Source organism: Homo sapiens, chromosome 12 (assembly GCF_000001405.40).
Source record: "Homo sapiens chromosome 12, GRCh38.p14 Primary Assembly".
In the NCBI taxonomy this organism is placed as follows: Eukaryota; Metazoa; Chordata; class Mammalia; order Primates; family Hominidae; genus Homo; species Homo sapiens.
The window spans coordinates 110,035,159-110,051,552 of NC_000012.12; the positions used below are offsets into that span (position 1 = coordinate 110,035,159).

A 16,394-nucleotide genomic window follows, 5' to 3' on the forward strand; every position below is an offset into this window, starting at 1 on the left:
GGTATGCTTTTCCTTTCCCTATGTAAGTGAGCTTAGCTCCCCCCGCCAGCTCCCAAGTAGCTTCATAAACCTTGTTGACCATAAGTTTTAACAAGGGAAGTAGCCAAAGTCAAAGACTACCAGTATTGAATTGTGTCTTCTAATCTTGCCCTAGAAGAATTACTGGCTGGGTGCAGTGGCTCATGCCTATAATCCCAGCACTTTGGGAAGCCAAGATGGGAGGACTGATTGAGCCCAGGAGTCTGAGACCAGCCTGGGCAACATAGTGAGATCCTATATCTACCAAATTTTTTTTTTTTTTTAATTTTTGAGGCAGAGTCTCACTCTTTTGCTCAGGCTGCAGTGCAGGGGCACAATATTGGCTCACTGCAGCCTCTGCCTCCCAGGTTCAAGTGATTCTCATGCCTCACCCTCCCGAGTAGCTGGGATTACAGGTGCGCACCACCAGACCCAGCTAGTTTTTGTGTTTTTAGTAGAGACGGGGTTTTACCATGTTGTCCAGGCTGATCCCAAACTCCAGACCTCAAGTGATCCACCAGCCTTGCCCTCCCAAAGTGCTGGGATTAGAGGTGTGAGCCACCATGCCTAGCCTCTACCAAAAAATTTTAAAAGCCAAGTATGGTGGTGTGCACCTGTATTCCCAACTAGTCAGGAGGCTTAGGTGGGAGGATTTCTTGTGCCCTGGGGTCAAGGCTGCAGTGAGCTACGATCACATCACTACCCTTGAGCCTGGACAACAGAGTGCGACCCTGTCTCTAAAAAAACAAAAACCTGCTTTGGTCACTTGAACTTTGCCCAAGGTCAGCTGTGTTTTTGCTTTTCGTTGTGTATATCTTCCACGTGGGTTAGCTGTATTTAAGAGACTGATTTTGTACAAAGGATGAGAAGGTTGTGGCTGTGAGTTAGGCTGTGGCATGTTACTACCTCCCACTTAGGTGTTGTTTTTGAGGTAACCCAAGTCCCTGTTAGCTTTTCACACAGCACTATTGATAATGGTCATGGAAAGACTTTTAATTTGGTTCTTGCTGCCATCGTTTCCTTACCAGAATGGCACCAATTTCTCCTAAGACGTATTCATGTCTATCACATTTGTCTTTGCCAGGAACTTTCAGGACCAGCTTCGAATGGAGGGATCAGCCAGACAAACACCTATGACGCCCAGTATGAGAGGTGATTGACTGACGTGACTCTGGAATAAACCAGGGTGAACACAGGCCTGGACACAGGCGAGCAGACGCGTGGCACTGTGCATTTGGTCCTCAGGCAGATGTACGGTGCCACAAACTGGCAGGAAAGACTAGAAAAAGTAGGCCAGGAGCGGTGGCTCACGCCTATAATCCCAGCATTTTGGGAGGCCGAGGCAGGCGGATCACGAGGTCAGAAGATTGAGACCATCCTGGCTAACACGGTGAAACCCTGTCTCTCCTAAAAAAAATACAAAAAATTAGCCGGGCATGGTGCCAGGCACCTGTAGTCTCAGCTACTCGGGAGGCTGAGGCAGGAGAATGGCAAACCCAGGAGGCGGAGCTTGCAGTGAGCCGAGATCGCGCCACTGCACTCCAGCCTGGGCGATAGAGCGAGACTCCGTCTCAAAAAAAAAAAAGACTAAAGTGTTGGCTCTCTTGCTTCCTCTTGTGGCAGTTACTTATAATAACTCTAGACTCTTGATAGCAAGTTTCCAGGAATGGGTGATAGAATTGCTGACTGGTTCACAGGTCAGTGCCATTGGGGGAAACGTACTGAGTCAGTTTTTTCTGATTGGTTTGATCTTCTATGAATGATGTATGATCACAGGGCCTAGATGTCCTCAGTGGGAAGTTTATATAATTGTAAAGATAAGGAAGTTTGGAGGAACAGCTCCAGAGATTACGGGAAAAACCGCGAGGATTCATTTTACGAAGACTTATACTTAAGGTGTCTATGAGAGCCTGTTGATGAAGAACCTGAGTTTTGCTTTAAAACAGATCCAAGTTCAATTCCCAGCCCTATCACTTACTGGTTGGGTGGTCTTGGGCAAGATTGTGGGGTTTCTCACCCGTATACAACACCTACACCGCCAGTTATGTGGGATTAATTGGCATCATGCATATTAAATGCCTGGCACAGTGTGCCCTTGGTAAGCGGTTAAGAAATGTAGTTACTGCTGCCACCATGATGATGATAGTAGTGACTCTCCCTTTTTATCTGTTTTCCAACCCAGGGCCATCCAGGAGAGCCTCCTCACCAGCACAGAAGGCCTGTGCCCCAGCGCCCTGAGCGAGACAAGCCGTTTTGATAATGACTTGCAGCTAGCCATGGAGCTCTCTGCCAAAGAGCTGGAGGAATGGGAGCTCCGGCTCCAGGAGGAAGAGGCTGAGCTCCAGCAAGTCTTACAGCTGTCACTCACTGACAAATAGACCTTTCAGCCTGTGAGCCTCTGCACAAAGCAGAGGCTGTGGGCTGTCACAGATGCTGTGTCAACCAGGGCCCTAGGGCTAAGGGCCTGCACCTTGCGTGCATGCAGCAGGCAACAACTGCCCCTTCTTTATGCAGAGGTGCAGAACCAGGGACTCCTGGGCCCATCCAGGCTGCTCCCTGGGGTGGAGAAGGGACCAGGGATTGCAGGCCCCATCTCCAGGCTAAGGGGAGGAGAGCATCATCACTTTCCATTAGCTGTATTGGCTTGCAGGTCACATTTTTACTACCAGCTTTAGACAAAACCCCAATCCCCGCAGGTTTGTAGATAAATTTTTATCAAGGAGTGATAACAAGACAAGTTATTGCAGAGTCAGGGTGCTTTTATATATAAGAGCAGCAGCCGCCTTTGTAAAGTGTGATCTATGAGAATTGGAGACACTTCTTTACTGTTCACCAAAGAAATGGGTAATCTGTGCTGATCTCCTTATTTTTACCTTTTTACAGGGTTTCTAGGACATTGTCATTATTCTTCCTCCATCTATCTGATTCCATTCCTTCCACACCCAGCTAAAGTTAGAGGAGATACATATAGAATCTATTTTAGATTATTGTTAACTATTTGCATCAAATTAAGATACACAAATGGCCATGGATGTTGCCTTAGCCTTAAACATTACTAATAGTTTCACATCACCTCACTGCACGCATCGAAGGATCTGATTTGAATTTGTAAAGGCAATTCTTTTGAGAGCAGGATTCTCCAGGCTAAATCAAAGGCAGCTAATCCTGTCCCTGAAGGAGCAGCTAGGGGAACCTGAGGCTTGTTCTTGAAGTGGGCAAGCTGGCCAAAATATTGGAACACACAGAACCAAACCAGGTGTGTTCTACACCTGCATGAGTGAAGGATTTCCACGTAGACACCTAGGAAGAGCCCGCATGCCCTAGACTCACTCCAGAGGAAGGATTGATTTGCAACCAGAAAGGGAGCTGAAAACCACGGAGCTCCATGGCTCTTCATTCAAAAGGGAAAATAATGATTCCACGTTGCTTTTTAGAGTTCAAATCAACATCTTTCTGGATAAATCTATTTTTTAACAATCTTTTTATTATTTGTAAAAGATATAAAAACAACTCCCATCAGTAGCAATACAAGGTTATACATTTTAACCAGATTTTCTCAGGCCTTTTTTGGATACCTTTAGTAGTTAACTCTCTTTTGTCAAACCCTCTTGTATATAACCATCGCACAACATACAGAACCCTGGGGAATACAGCCAAGGGCACTGCTCACTGTGGCCCGTGTATTCATTCCCACAGGCTGCACTGAAATAACCTGGTAAACAACACCCTCCTCCATTTTGCGTCTATTTCTTCTATTGTGCTTCTTTGGGGATAGGAAGAGAAACATAACTACTGTTCCAGGTAACGTCTGTATCATACAGTTAGTGTTGCCAGTGAAACGTTCCCAGATACAAAGAATTGTGCTTTTAATTCCATTTCACAATCTGTTTTGTTTTTTTTTTTTGTCATTGTCTGACCAAAATTCCTTCTGCACATGAGGCCAGTATAGGCAACGTCACATTTGTTTGTTTCAAATATGCAGTGTGGTATTTTGTTTACTTTGCATTTACCGTGAGCAAAGATACTTCTTGGAATGGCTGCAGTGAGGCCGTGTCATTGGCTCACAAAAGTGACTCATAGGTAATTTCTGTGTTTGCATTCCACTGCTCTGCTCCCTAAGGTCCTTGACTTTCTCCCCAGGAATTCACTTAAAAAGGGACTGAGCATTGTGTCAACCTGTTGCAGTGTTTTTCATATATGTGTTCACTCTAAAAATGCAAATAAAGACTGCTTCCTTAGAGGGTGCTCATACAAAATTCCAGTCTTTGAGTCTTTTTCCTTTTCAGTTTTTTCTAGTCACTGGATGTACCCACACTTCCTGTTACGTATGTCAGTAGAACATTAGAATGCCTCACTTCGCTCAGTTCATCACTGCAAAGGTGGCATGCTCCTCCCAGCCTTCCTGCCCAGGTTAACAAGCCCCATGCTGCTTGTTTCAAATGGCAACTAAAAGCAAGCCAGTGTTGGGCTGTTCTGACACCTCTGTGGTCCTCCTGGAGGGGAACTGGCTCTTGTGGGGTAAGGGAAGCCCAGCCAACATCAAAGCTCTGCATCAATGCTATCCCTTGAAGCCAACTGCTTTGTGAGGCTGTTCCTAGAAGTCCAGATGATAAGGCTTCCAAACTCTTCCTATATCTAAATAAGCGGGTATTAAAAACAACAAAGGCAGTGGCCAGTAGAAATGTATGGGTTCCAGAAATGAGGCTGTATTTCTGGGAAGATGTAAAGGAGCTGCTTTGCTTTTAGGGGAAAGTAGATATCAATACTTTGAAGCCACAAGGACACTATGAAGAAAACCATTACTCTTTCAGGTCAAGAGGTGCAATGACTATGGATTATTTAAAAACTGAAAAGCTAAGCTTGAGTGGCCCAATATCAGCAGGAAGTGGTTTTTTTTTTTTGTTTGTTTGTTTTCCTGAGACGGAGTTTTGCTCTTGTTGCCCAGGCTGGAGTGCAATGGCGCGATCTTGGCTCACTGCAACCTCTGCCTCCCGGGTTCAAACGATTCTCCTGCCTCAGCCTCCCGAGTAGCTGGGATTACAGGCGTGTGCCACCATGCCTGGCTTATTTTTGTATTTTTAGTAGAGACGGGGTTTCACCATGTTGGCCAGGCTGGTCTCGAACTCCTGACCTCAGGTGATCCACCCGCCTCGGCCTCCCAAAGTGCTGAGACTACAGGCATGAGCCACCGCACTCGGCCAGAAACTTTAATTGAGCAACTTCTGCACGTTAGACACTGCTAGGAACTAAGTTCCTAAGGCACTCTGCTCTATAAACAAGCTTGTCACACTACATAAACGTGGCATGTCAAGGGATTGAAAGTCTGCTCTAAATAATGACAGGAAAGGGAAACTGCCATAACTGCCAGCTTGGTCGCAGTCTCCTGCTGACCACAAATGACATCAAGGAAGATGAACTGGATGTGGAGATTTCAAGTGATTCAGTGGTACAGTGAGTGATGAAGTTCAAAGTACCACCTAGGCCTCTGTTTAGAAATATGTGTAGGTTTAAGCCTGAGGTCCAGGTGGAAAAAAATACAACATGCTGATATGACTCCACAGTCACTAAATCATAGGCAGCACTAGGAGACTTTTATCTCAACTTTAGGCCAGGCGCAGTGGCTCACGCCTGTAATCCCAGCACTTTGGGAGGCCAAGGCAGGTGGATCACCTGAGGTCAGGAGTTTGAGACCAGCCTGGCCAACATGGTGAAACCCCATCTCTACTAAAAATACAAAAAAATTAGCCAGGCATGGTGGCTCATGCCTGTAATCCTGGCTACTCTGGAGGCTGAGGCAGGAGAATCGCTTGAACCCGGGAGGTGGAGGTTGCAGTGAGCCAACAATGCACCATTGCACTCTAGCCTGGGCAACAGGAACCAAACTCCGTCTCAAAAAAAGAAATTTCACTTCACAGAGCTTCTTTAAGTGATTAGATCAAATTCAGACACACACCTGCATTTCAAACACTTGGGAAATAACTGGTGGAGTAAAACAATATATAGGATTTTACTTTAGTTTTAATTGACGTTTTGCTCAAAAGCAAAGAACTGAACATTTCAATGGTTCAATGTTACAAGATTACAAACAAAATCCTTACACAGTTACAGTATCCTACTTCGGTTACTTCACATTAAATGCAGGTTGTTAAAATCAGTGCTGTGCTTGAACACAAGATAAGCATTTCAATTTAATAACAAAATTAAATCTAGCACCTTGAAATAAATATTGACGACAGCTTTATAAGTATGAAAGTATCATTTCAATAGGAGGAAAAAATCCAGTTCACCAACAGTGGAAACTAATAGCAGCATTTTCAAAGCTGAGATGAAATTTGTGTAAACACACACTGGCCCGCACAGTGGACATGCACTTCTGTTGGCTGGGCCCTCCCCACCCAGGGATGAACAGAGTGCCCACTGAGCCTTTTACATTCCAAATCTGGAAAGCTGCCTCAAGTTTCAGACCGTGGGCTAGAAAGACTCAAATGCAGGGCAAGGGAGATCAATGTGTTTAAGCAGGATGGGGTCCTTTTTGTAACAGGCCAACCTAGTAACATTTCCAGTCCAACTTCAGAGCATTCCAGGCCAAAGGTGCATATAGTAACAGGTCTACCTGATGTGACCCTGACTTCAGGGGGAGCACCTGAGTGCAGGGCAGGATGCAGGTGAGGAACGAGGGCCCAAGATCCCCACAGCTGACACCACTTTGCAACCAGCGCATTCTAGGCTAACTCAGGTGAGATTAAAAAAAAAAATCTGTGATTCTTAACCCACTGTAACCAAATGGTTCTTAAATAGGGAATGTCTGCATGGTAAGTCTCCTTCTTAATAACATTTTCAAGCATTAATGATGAGTTCTTTACAGTGTGGTTCTTACAGGCACTCACAAGGTTACCATGTTTTCTTTCTCATGAACACTCCATCTTTACACTGACCTTTGGAGCTTTCAGGTCTTACTTTTAACAAGTACAGTCAGAAACACTGAGAAGCGGACTCAGGGGCCAATTATTTGCGCTACAGTGTTAGGAAAAAATAATGTCTAGTACATGTTTTCTTCTAATTCATTTAGCATTTACCAACTGTCCAGACCAAAGGTCATTTCCAAGTAGGAAAGTTTTGGTTCCAACTTCTCCACTGGCCTGTGTGCAACACAACTTATCCTATTCCCAAATACTCATTGAAGAACTTGTCTGGCTGTCACCGACGCCGAATGGGCTTGTAGACACAAAATGCCATAAGGATGACAGTCACCAGCAGGATGCTGAAAATGGTTCCCATCAACACTGCAAAGGGAAAACAGGTTACTTCCTAATGGCAGCTCCAGGTTAGGCAATTCATCCACTCACTGCCAATGATTTATCAAATGCCACTTGCTGCCAGGCACTATGTCAAGTGCTGTGCAAACAGCTGTAAACAGATCCTCTCTCCAGTTGTCTCTAAATATAGTTGGGGGAGAAACAAACAGATGAGAGCATTTCACATAGCTTGATATACCGTGAAAAAAAAAAACAGTAACATGCTAGGGATGGAGACAGGGTGGGCAGCAAGAAGGGGGGACAGTCAGGAAGCATCCGAGGAGGAGACTCACAAACTAAGACAGGCCGAGTGTGGTGGCTCGTGTCTGTAATCTCAGCACTTTGGGAGGCCTAGGTGGGTGGATCACTTGAGGTCAGGAGTTCGAGACTAGCCTGGCCAACATGGTGAAACCCCGTCTCTACTAAAAATACAAAAATTGGCCAGGTGTGGTGGCATCCGCCAGCTACTCAGGAGGCTACTCCTGAGCTACTCAGCTACTCAGGAGGCTGAGGCAGGAGAATCGCTTGAACCCGAGAGGCGGAGGTTACAGTGAGCCGAGATTGCGCCACTAAGCGACAGAATGAAACTCCACCTCAAAAAAAAAAACAACAACAAAAAACTGAGACCTTACGAGTGAGGCTCTGCAGGGAGCATGCTGCAGGCCCACAGATCAGCTAAGGAAGGGCCTTGAGGCCAGTATAAGCCCAATACACTCAGTGAACAGAAGGGAGGCAACCAGGCAAGGAGTGCAGGAAGAGAGGCAGGAAATCAGGCCAGAAAGGAAGGCTGGGGCTGGTCTGTGCAAGGCCTTGGAGACCATGAAGAAAACACGGATTTTAAGTTTAAAGAGAAGCCACTAGGGGGCTGTAGGCAAAGGAATGACATCATCTGATTTAGTCGGAAAAAAAAAAAAAGATTCCTCTGGCTTTTGTGTGGAGAATTGTTTGACTATAGGGGAGCAAGAGAGCAGGATGCCCAACTATGCCTTTAAAGCCATTAATAAAAACCTGGAGATTCAATAAAGTATTTCAGTCTCAAGATGAGTCTTGACAGGGCCTTTTGAGCAAAGAAGCAACTAACTCACAAATCTGCTATGTTTGGCTGGGTGCGGTGGCTCATGCCTGTAATCCCAGCACTTTGGGAGGCCGAGGCAGGCGGATCACGAGGTCAGGAGTTCGAGACCAGCCTGGCCAATATAGTGAAACCATGTCTCTACTAAAAATACAAAAAAAATTAGCCAGGTGTGGTGGTGTGTGCCTGTAGTCCCAACTACTCAGGAGGCTGAGGCAGGAGAATTGCTTGAACCCAGGAGGCAGAGGTTGCAGTGAGCCAAGCTTATACCACTGCACTCCAGCCTGGGCAATAGAGGGAGACTCTGTCTCAAAAAAAAACAAAAACAAAAAAAAAAATGTTACGTTTTTAAGACTAAATTTCACATCTGAAATTTTCAAGGTGCTCAGGTGAGAAATGGGAACTACAACTGATTACTCAAGTTGAGCCCTGGTGATACAGGATAAGGACCTGGGCTTTAAACTACTACATAACAAAAAAAAAAAAATAAAGAAAAAAAAAAACTAGCGTAACCAGCAACCTGTCAGAGGTTTCTTCAACAGCAGCAGTGATACGCAATCTTGTTTCTGTAACTATCTCAGCGATCTTGGGAAGCATTCAAAACAAGCAAATGTACACTGATGTGTGTCTGTAGGGATGTGGGCCCATCCCAGGTTCCAGCTAGGGCCTAACCATGGTTGTTCTTCAGTCTCATTACTGTTCCTTTGAAAAACCAAGATTTAGCCAGGCAAGGGGGCTCATGCCTATAATCCCAGCACTTTGGGAGGCCAAGGCAGGCAGATCACGAGGTCAGGAGTTTGAGACCAGCCTGGCCAACATGGTGAAACCCCATCTCTACTAAAAATACAAAAATTAGCCGGACATGGTGGCGGGCACCTGTAATCCCAGCTACTCAGGGGGCTGAGGCAGGAGAATCGCTTGAACCCCAGACGCGGAGGTTGCAGCGAGCCGAGATCGCACCATTGCACTCCAGCCTGGGCGACAGGGACTCTGTCAAAAAAAAGAAAACAAAACAAAAGAAAAACCAAGATTTGACCATAGTTTTATTTAAATCAGTAACTTTGTAGTATCTGTGACCCCCCCACCCCACACACACCCTCCACGCTTAAACCGGTTATTATTTTAAAACCGACTATACAGAAAAATCAGGCCAGGTGCAGTGGCTCACGCCTGTAATCCCAGCACTTTGGGAGGCCAAGGCAAGCAGATCACCTGAAGTCGGGAGTTCGAGACCAGCCTGACCAACATGGAGAAACCCTGTCTCTATTGAAAATACAAAATTAGCTGGGCGTGATGGTGCATGCCTGTAATCCCAGCTACTTGGGAGGCTGAGGCAGGAGAATTTCTTGAACCCGGGAGGCGGAGGTTGCGGTGAGCCAAGATCACGCCACTGCACTCCAGCCTGGGCAACAAGAGCGAAACTCCGTCTCAAAATAAAAAAAAAGAAAAGAAAAGAAAATTCATCTTTTTTTGGTGAGTGAGGGGGAAGAAGGAAGGAGAAGGTGACAAAGACAGCATGTCATAACTCCAAAGGCCAGAAGTAATTTTAAGATCTTTGTCAAACAAAATCTCCAACCTACGTGAACTAAATGTCATGTCTTAAAATAGCCCTTGTTAACTGAATACCTGCCCTAATTTTCAAAAGTCCTGAATTCTGAGTTTCTATGGTTTGGACTACAATTGGACTTAAAGTTGTCTTATTCCATTTAAGAACATTTTCTTGCATCTCGCATTTTGGAAGAACTCCAAAAAAAATTTAAAACTCTCGGCTGTGCGCAGCGGCTCAAGCCTGTAATCCCAGTGAGAGGCCAAGGCGGGCGGATCACAAGATCAGGAGATCGAGACCACTCTGGCTAACGTGGTGAAACCCCGTCTCTACTAAATATACAAAAATTAGCTGGGCATGGTGGCGGGCACCTGTAATCCCAGCTACTCGGGAGGCTGAGGCAGGAGAATCACCTGAACCAGGGAGTCGGGGGTTGCAGTGAGCCAAGATCGCGCCACTGCACTGGCCTGGCAACAGAGCGAGACTCCATCTCAAAAAAATAAAAAATAAAAAACTTAAAACTCCCAAAGCAGGAATGCAGAAGATTGGAATTGGGGAATGGAAATCTACCTTTAAAAAATAAAAAAGGCCAGGCGCAGCGGCTCACACCTGTAATGCCAGCACTTTGGGAGGCCGAGATGGGCAGATCACTTGAGATCAAGACTTCGAGACAAGCCTGGCCAACATGGAGAAACCCCCTCTGTACTAAAATTACAAACATTAGCCGGGCACGGTGGTGGGTGCCTGTAATCCCAGCTACTTGGGAGGCTTAGGCAAGAGAATCACTTGAACCTGGGCGGTGGAGGTTGCAGTGAACCAAGATCATGCCATTGCACTCCAGATTGGGCAACAGAGTGAGACTCCATATAAAAAATAATAATAAAAATAAAGTTTAAAAAGGAGCTTAAAACCATGAGTTGTTAGGTACACAATGGCCATGCATTTGGGGCCTGATCAATTCTCCCAGTCGTCATCTTTTCACTTCTCCCTACACTTTGCATGCAGTGACAGTTGCCTGAATTGCAGGCCCAGGCAGAACCTTAAAAGAATGTTTTAGGGCGGGCGTGGTGGCTCACACCTGTAATCCCAGCACTTTGGGAGGCCACAGTGGGCAGTTCATGAGGTCAAGAGATCGAGACCATCCTGGCCAACATGGTGAAACCCCATCTCTACTAAAAATACAAAAATTACCTGGGCGTGGTGGCACACGCCTGTGGTCCCAGCTACTCAAGAGGCTGAGGCAGGATAATTGCTCGAACCCAGGAGGCGGAGGCTGCAGTGAGCTGAGACCGCACCACTGCACTCCAGCCTTGGCAACAAGAGCAAAACTCCATCTCAAAAAAATAAATAAATACCAACTGTACGGAACTGTCTAGGACAGCATTTCTCAAACTATCTATGGCAAAGGAGTAGTTTTTATAATTTCTAGTCTGTCCCAGACCACTACATAGCCCTACTGTGCATGACTAATAACCAGTTCCCTTCATCTGCAAAGCATTCCAGTTCAGAGACACCTAGAACTGGTCTCTAAGTGCTTGGATGTTGCAACAATGTCAAACTGTTAAGTTTCTAAACACTCTCAATTTCTGTAGTCATCTCTTTGCAGATAACATAGTTTGCAGACTCACACTGGTCTGCAGACTACCCTTTGAGTAGTACTGTTCCACAGCAGTGGGTATCCAATGGGGATTTGGCGTACCGTGGACATTTGGCAATGTCTGGAGAGATTTTGACTATCTTGATTAGGAGTAGGGGGTGCTACTGGTATCTAAAGGCTGGGGATGCCACCAAACTTCTTACAGTGTTTATCATAGCCCCCCCACTGCCCCTCGCCCCCTGAAATCATTTATCCAACATGTCGTAATATCCAGGTTGAGAAACCCTGTTCTGAAGGATCGAGTGGGATAATGTGTGGAAACTATTTAGTAGAGTGCTAGGTACACAGTAAGTCGTCAACACATGGCAAACACTGAGTTCATGTAGAGTCAAGATAATCCAAAATGATACTAATAGCCACTTTGTAGATATACAGATGTACCAAGGAGATACAGTGGGAAGGGAAGACTTTGGCGAGGGGCAGATTTATTGTGAAGTTTGCCAAGCTTTAAGTTCCAGAACTCCTTCCAAAGCCAAAGCCATGCACACACACATATTTACGCAGCGTGTGTGTGTGTTGAAGATATCCTCCCACAACTTATGTTTCAAGCCCCCAAACAGGTTCTAGTATTGGCCTCATCATTTCCTAGCTATGTAACTTTGGGCAAATAACTTCACTTCTCTGAGTTTCATTTTCCTTATCTGAAAAATAGAGCTGCAACATCAGGTGCGGTGGCTCACACTTGTAATCCCAACACTTTGGGAGGCCGAGGCAGGAGGATTGCTTGAGCCCAAGAGTTCGAGACCCCCACCTCTACAAAAAGTAAACAACAACAACAACAAAATGAGCCAGGTGTGGTGGTGCACGCCTGTAGTCCCAGCTACTCGCCCGGGATGCTGAGGTGGCAGGATCACTTAAACCCAGGAGGCCGAGGCTGCAGTGAGCCAAGATCGTGCCACAGCACTCCAGCCTGGGTGACAGAGGAGACACTATTGTAAAAGAAAAAAAAAGGGCTGCAAACCGTACGTTTCTCATTAAGTTATTGTAAGGCTCAAATGAATTCGCGTATACAAAGTGCGTAGCACAAGACATGGGATGTAGGAAATGCTCAAAAACTGTTATCATTTTTGCAATAAATACTGGCTCCTCTGGGAAAGAAGAGGGGTGGGGTAAATGATGTGCCTTGTTGCCTAGCCTGAGCCCACACTGCCAGAGAGGAGAGGACCCAGAATGAGACCCAGGTCTCCCGATTGCAGTTCATTCATGGGCAAGCAGTACATATTGAGAGCTTACTGGACACCATGCCAGGCTTGAGACCAGCCTGGCCAACATAGTGAAACCCCATCTCTACTAAAAATACAAAAATTAGCCAAGTGTGGTGGTGTGCGCCTGTAATCCCAGCTACTCGGCAGGCTGAGGCAGGAGAATTGCTTGAACCTGGGAGGCGAAGGTTCTGGCACATATTGAGCACTTGCTGAGAGGCAAAGTTCAGGCCTTCTGCCCCAGGCTTTTGGAGAGGGAGTCTCGGGGCCCCCTGAGGGGCCTCACCTGCACCCCCCGCACTCACCCATCTCCCCACTCTATCCCCTGTCCGCTCCGTACATGCCCGGCTCCAGCACCCGGAGCAGTGAAAGCTCAGGCACTACCCGCCGCCCGCCAGCCCGAGGGCCGCTCACCCAGGTTCTGCCCTCGCAGCACCGCGTACGGCCGGCTCCGCTCCAGCGGATCCACGGGGCTCGGGGCCTCTGCCTCCCCCACCAGGAGGCTGCAGAGGCCAAGGTACAGCCACGGTAACGCTGGACGCAGCATCTTCCCCAGCCCTGCAGAAGCAGAGAGGCCACTTCCGTCGCAAGCCCTGCCTCTGTCTCCTCCCAGGTCTCTCTGCGTCGCTGCCACCGCCCTTAGGGCGCGCGTCATTGCCATGGTAACTGTGCGTCCTGGTCTAAGTTCCGCTTCTGCCTAAGATTTGTTCCGGATTAACGTTCCTCAATAACTAATGTTTCCCCCGGACCAACTTTCCGTTCAGATCAACTTTCCGTCTGTGCCAACGTTCGCCGCGATTACCGTTCTGCTGTGGTTAGCGTTCCCTCATCCATTGGGGTCGAGGTCTTGTAGGTCCATTTGGGGCCTATTGAAGATTTTTTACGAATCCATGCATTTTCTTATTAAACCTTCATTACGGGCCTGGAAAATAGATACTGTGTTTCTATAGTACAAATGCCATCTTCTCAGGGAGCCCTTGCCCAGACATCCTTTTCTAAAATTGCAACCCTCCCTTTCCCTTAATGTACATTCTCCCTACCTTCGTTCTCTTCCATTCCCCCCATTCACTTTAGACTCATCACCATTTACCTTATACATTTAACGTACATTTGATGATTTTCTGAGGACCTGCTCCGCCCTAGCATGTAAAGTCCACGAGCACAGCGATTTTGTTCTTGCTCTCTGCTCTGTCCCAGAGACTGGGGGAGAGAGAGACCCTCTCATTTTGTTTTATATTGTTTTATACTCAGTACCTGTTTTAAGAAGAAACAACAAGGAAGTGAAACCAAAGACGGGCAGCCCGGCGCCAGGCCCGAAACCAGGCCTGGGCCTGCCTGGCCTAAACCCAGTTTCATGTGTGTGAAGAGACCACCAAACGTGTGTGAAGAGACCACCAAACAGGCTTTGTGTGAGCAACATGGCTGTTTATTTCACCTGGGTGCAGGCGGGCTGAGTCCGAAAAGAGAGTAAGCAAAGGGTGGTGGATTATCATTAGTTCTTACAGGTTTTGGGATAGGCGGTGAAGTTAAGAGCAATGTTTTGCGGGCAGGGGTGGATCTCACGAAGTACATTCTCAAGGGTAGGGAGAATTACAAAGAACCTTCTTAAGGTTGGGGGAGATTACAAAGTACCTTAAGGGTGGGGGAGATTACAAAGTACATTGATCAGTTAGGGTGGGGCAGAAACAAATCACAATGGTGGAATGTCATCAGTTAAGGCTATTTTTACTTCTTTTGTGGATCTTCAGTTACTTCAGGCCATCTGGATGTATACGTGCAAGTCACAGGGGATGCGATGGCTTGGCTTGGGCTCAGAGGCCTCACACCCAGTAGCTAAAAATCAACTCATAACTTAGAAACCGATGTTATTCATAGATTCCAGACATTGTATAGAAGAACGTTGTGAAACTCCCTGCCCTGTTCTGTTTCTCTCTTACCACTGGTGCATGCAGCCCCTGTCACGTACCACCTACTTGCTCAAATCAATCACGACCCTTTCATGTGAAATCTTTAGTGCTGTGAGGAGCCCTTAAAAGGGACAGAAATTGTGCATTCGGGGAGCTCGGATTTTAAGGCAGTAGCTTGCCGATGCTGCCAGCTGAATAAAGCCCTTCCTTCTACAACTCGGTGTCTGAGAGGTTTTGTCTGCGGCTCGTCCTGCTACAAGACTAGAAGAGTAGCATATTATATTCAGTAACTGTTTGCTGAATACATGAGGGAATTGAGCTAAGTGTTTGGCCCAACACTGCACACACAAAGTGGCAGAGCTAGAATTTGACCCAAGCATAGTTTTGAATCTGGAGGCTTTACCACCTCACACATTGCCTCACCTCCTGAAGGTTTGATTTGTAGTGGGATTAGTATCATTCACCTCACAATGGATGTGCAATACAAATGTCAGAGGCGTGTGAACCAGAGCAACTCCATCTTAAATAGGAGCTGGGTAAAATGAGGCTGAAACCTACTGGGCTGAATTCCCAGACGGTTAAGGCATTCTAAGTCACAGGATGATATAGGAGGTCAGCACAAAATACAGGTCATAAAGACCTTGCTGATAAAACAGGTTGCAGTAAAGGAGCCTGCTATAAACCACCAAAACCAAAATGGTGACAAGAGTGACCTCTGGTCGTCCTCACTGCTACACTCCCAGCAGCGCCATGACAGTTTACAAATGCCATGGTAATGTCAGGAAGTTACCCTATATGGTCTAAAAGGGGGAGGCATGAATAATCCACCCCTCGTTTAGCGTATCATCAAGAAATAATCATAAAAATGCCTAACCAGCAGCCCTCGGGGGCTACTCTGTCTATGGAGTAGCCATTCTTTTATTCCACTACTTTATTAATAAACTTGCTTTCACTTTGCACTGTGGACTTGCCCTAATTCTTTCTTGCGCTAGATCCAAGAACCCCCTCTTGGGGTCTGGATCGGGACCCTTTTCCTGTAACGTATTTCTGGCAACCACAGAAGGGACTATAGTGCAGAAACCTGACCCAATGGCTACCTTTGGGTAAGTGTTGGGGTCCGTTAACACTACCAGGTGTTCACCTGCAAAGGGAAGGTGTAATCTGCCATGTTAAAGACACTGTGCACCAACTTCTTCATTTCTTTCTCCACGATCTCCTCTTTCACTTCTGCTGTCCTTTTCACCTTGCTGTGCACAGAACTGATGACAGGCTCTTTCCACTGGTACAGCTTGCCACTCACCAGAGCAAAGCTAAATGGCAGGCACAGGAAAGCATCAATGGGAGGCATAGCACAGTGGGGTGGGAGGCAGGCTCTGCAGGCCACTTCCGTTCCAATCCTAGCTCGGCTGCATGACTTGCTTCCGTGTGACTCGTTTTCCCTCTCTGCACAATGGGAAGCATAATCATACCTGCCTCATGAATTGTGAGGATCAAATGATATATGTCTGCAAACTCCTTTGCCCAGTATCTGGCACATACTGAGCACTCGCTATAGGAAAGCTGCTGCCCCCAATCTCATTTTTTTTTTTTAAATGGAGTCTTGCTCTGTCGCCCAGGTTGGAGTGCAGTGGTGTGATCTCGGCTCACTGCAACCTCCGCCCCCTAGGTTGAAGCGATTCTCCTGCCTCAGCATTCTG

General features: G+C 46.6%; 2 protein-coding genes across 13 annotated transcripts in view, besides 3 other annotated features; one reads left to right on the top strand and one right to left on the bottom strand.

Moving 5' to 3' along the window:
* Positions 1 to 4,605, top strand: part of ANKRD13A (ankyrin repeat domain 13A) — a 40,551-nt gene extending 35,946 nt beyond the window's left edge. For all 9 annotated transcript variants that reach the window (XM_005253984.2, XM_005253980.4, NM_033121.2 and 6 more), the window contains 2 exons: positions 1,103 to 1,170; positions 2,201 to 4,605. In XM_005253984.2, the coding sequence (XP_005254041.1) occupies positions 1,103 to 1,170; positions 2,201 to 2,396 (264 nt within the window). In that variant the 3' untranslated portion in view covers positions 2,397 to 4,605. The remainder of the gene's footprint in view (positions 1 to 1,102; positions 1,171 to 2,200) is intronic.
* Positions 4,606 to 6,018: 1,413 nt separating this feature from the next.
* The window catches only part of C12orf76 (chromosome 12 open reading frame 76), a 32,459-nt gene continuing 22,083 nt past the window's right edge, over positions 6,019 to 16,394 (bottom strand). For 2 of the 4 annotated variants that reach the window (NR_148514.2, NR_148515.2), the window contains exon 4: positions 6,019 to 7,301. Coding sequence is in view for 1 of the 4 variants with exons in the window: in NM_001389625.1 (NP_001376554.1) it covers positions 7,216 to 7,301; positions 13,205 to 13,337 (219 nt within the window). In the remaining 3 variants the exon portion in view is untranslated. Of the gene's footprint in view, positions 7,302 to 9,261; positions 9,376 to 13,204; positions 13,365 to 16,394 lie in introns of those variants that run through there. The other 2 variants (NR_148517.2, NM_001389625.1) reach the window with 2 other exon arrangements.
* Positions 7,341 to 7,854: an enhancer, noted in NCBI's record as "H3K27ac hESC enhancer chr12:110480304-110480817 (GRCh37/hg19 assembly coordinates)". NCBI's record gives its function as "activates a minimal SCP1, AML or CMV promoter by ChIP-STARR-seq in primed H9 embryonic stem cells {active_cell/tissue: H9 hESC(primed)}" and the evidence as "EXISTENCE:reporter gene assay evidence [ECO:0000049][PMID:30033119]".
* Positions 13,073 to 13,132: a silencer, noted in NCBI's record as "silent region_4852". NCBI's record gives its function as "represses an Ori minimal core promoter by ATAC-STARR-seq in GM12878 lymphoblastoid cells {active_cell/tissue: GM12878}" and the evidence as "EXISTENCE:reporter gene assay evidence [ECO:0000049][PMID:35858748]".
* Positions 14,053 to 14,312: an enhancer, noted in NCBI's record as "active region_6993". NCBI's record gives its function as "activates an Ori minimal core promoter by ATAC-STARR-seq in GM12878 lymphoblastoid cells {active_cell/tissue: GM12878}" and the evidence as "EXISTENCE:reporter gene assay evidence [ECO:0000049][PMID:35858748]".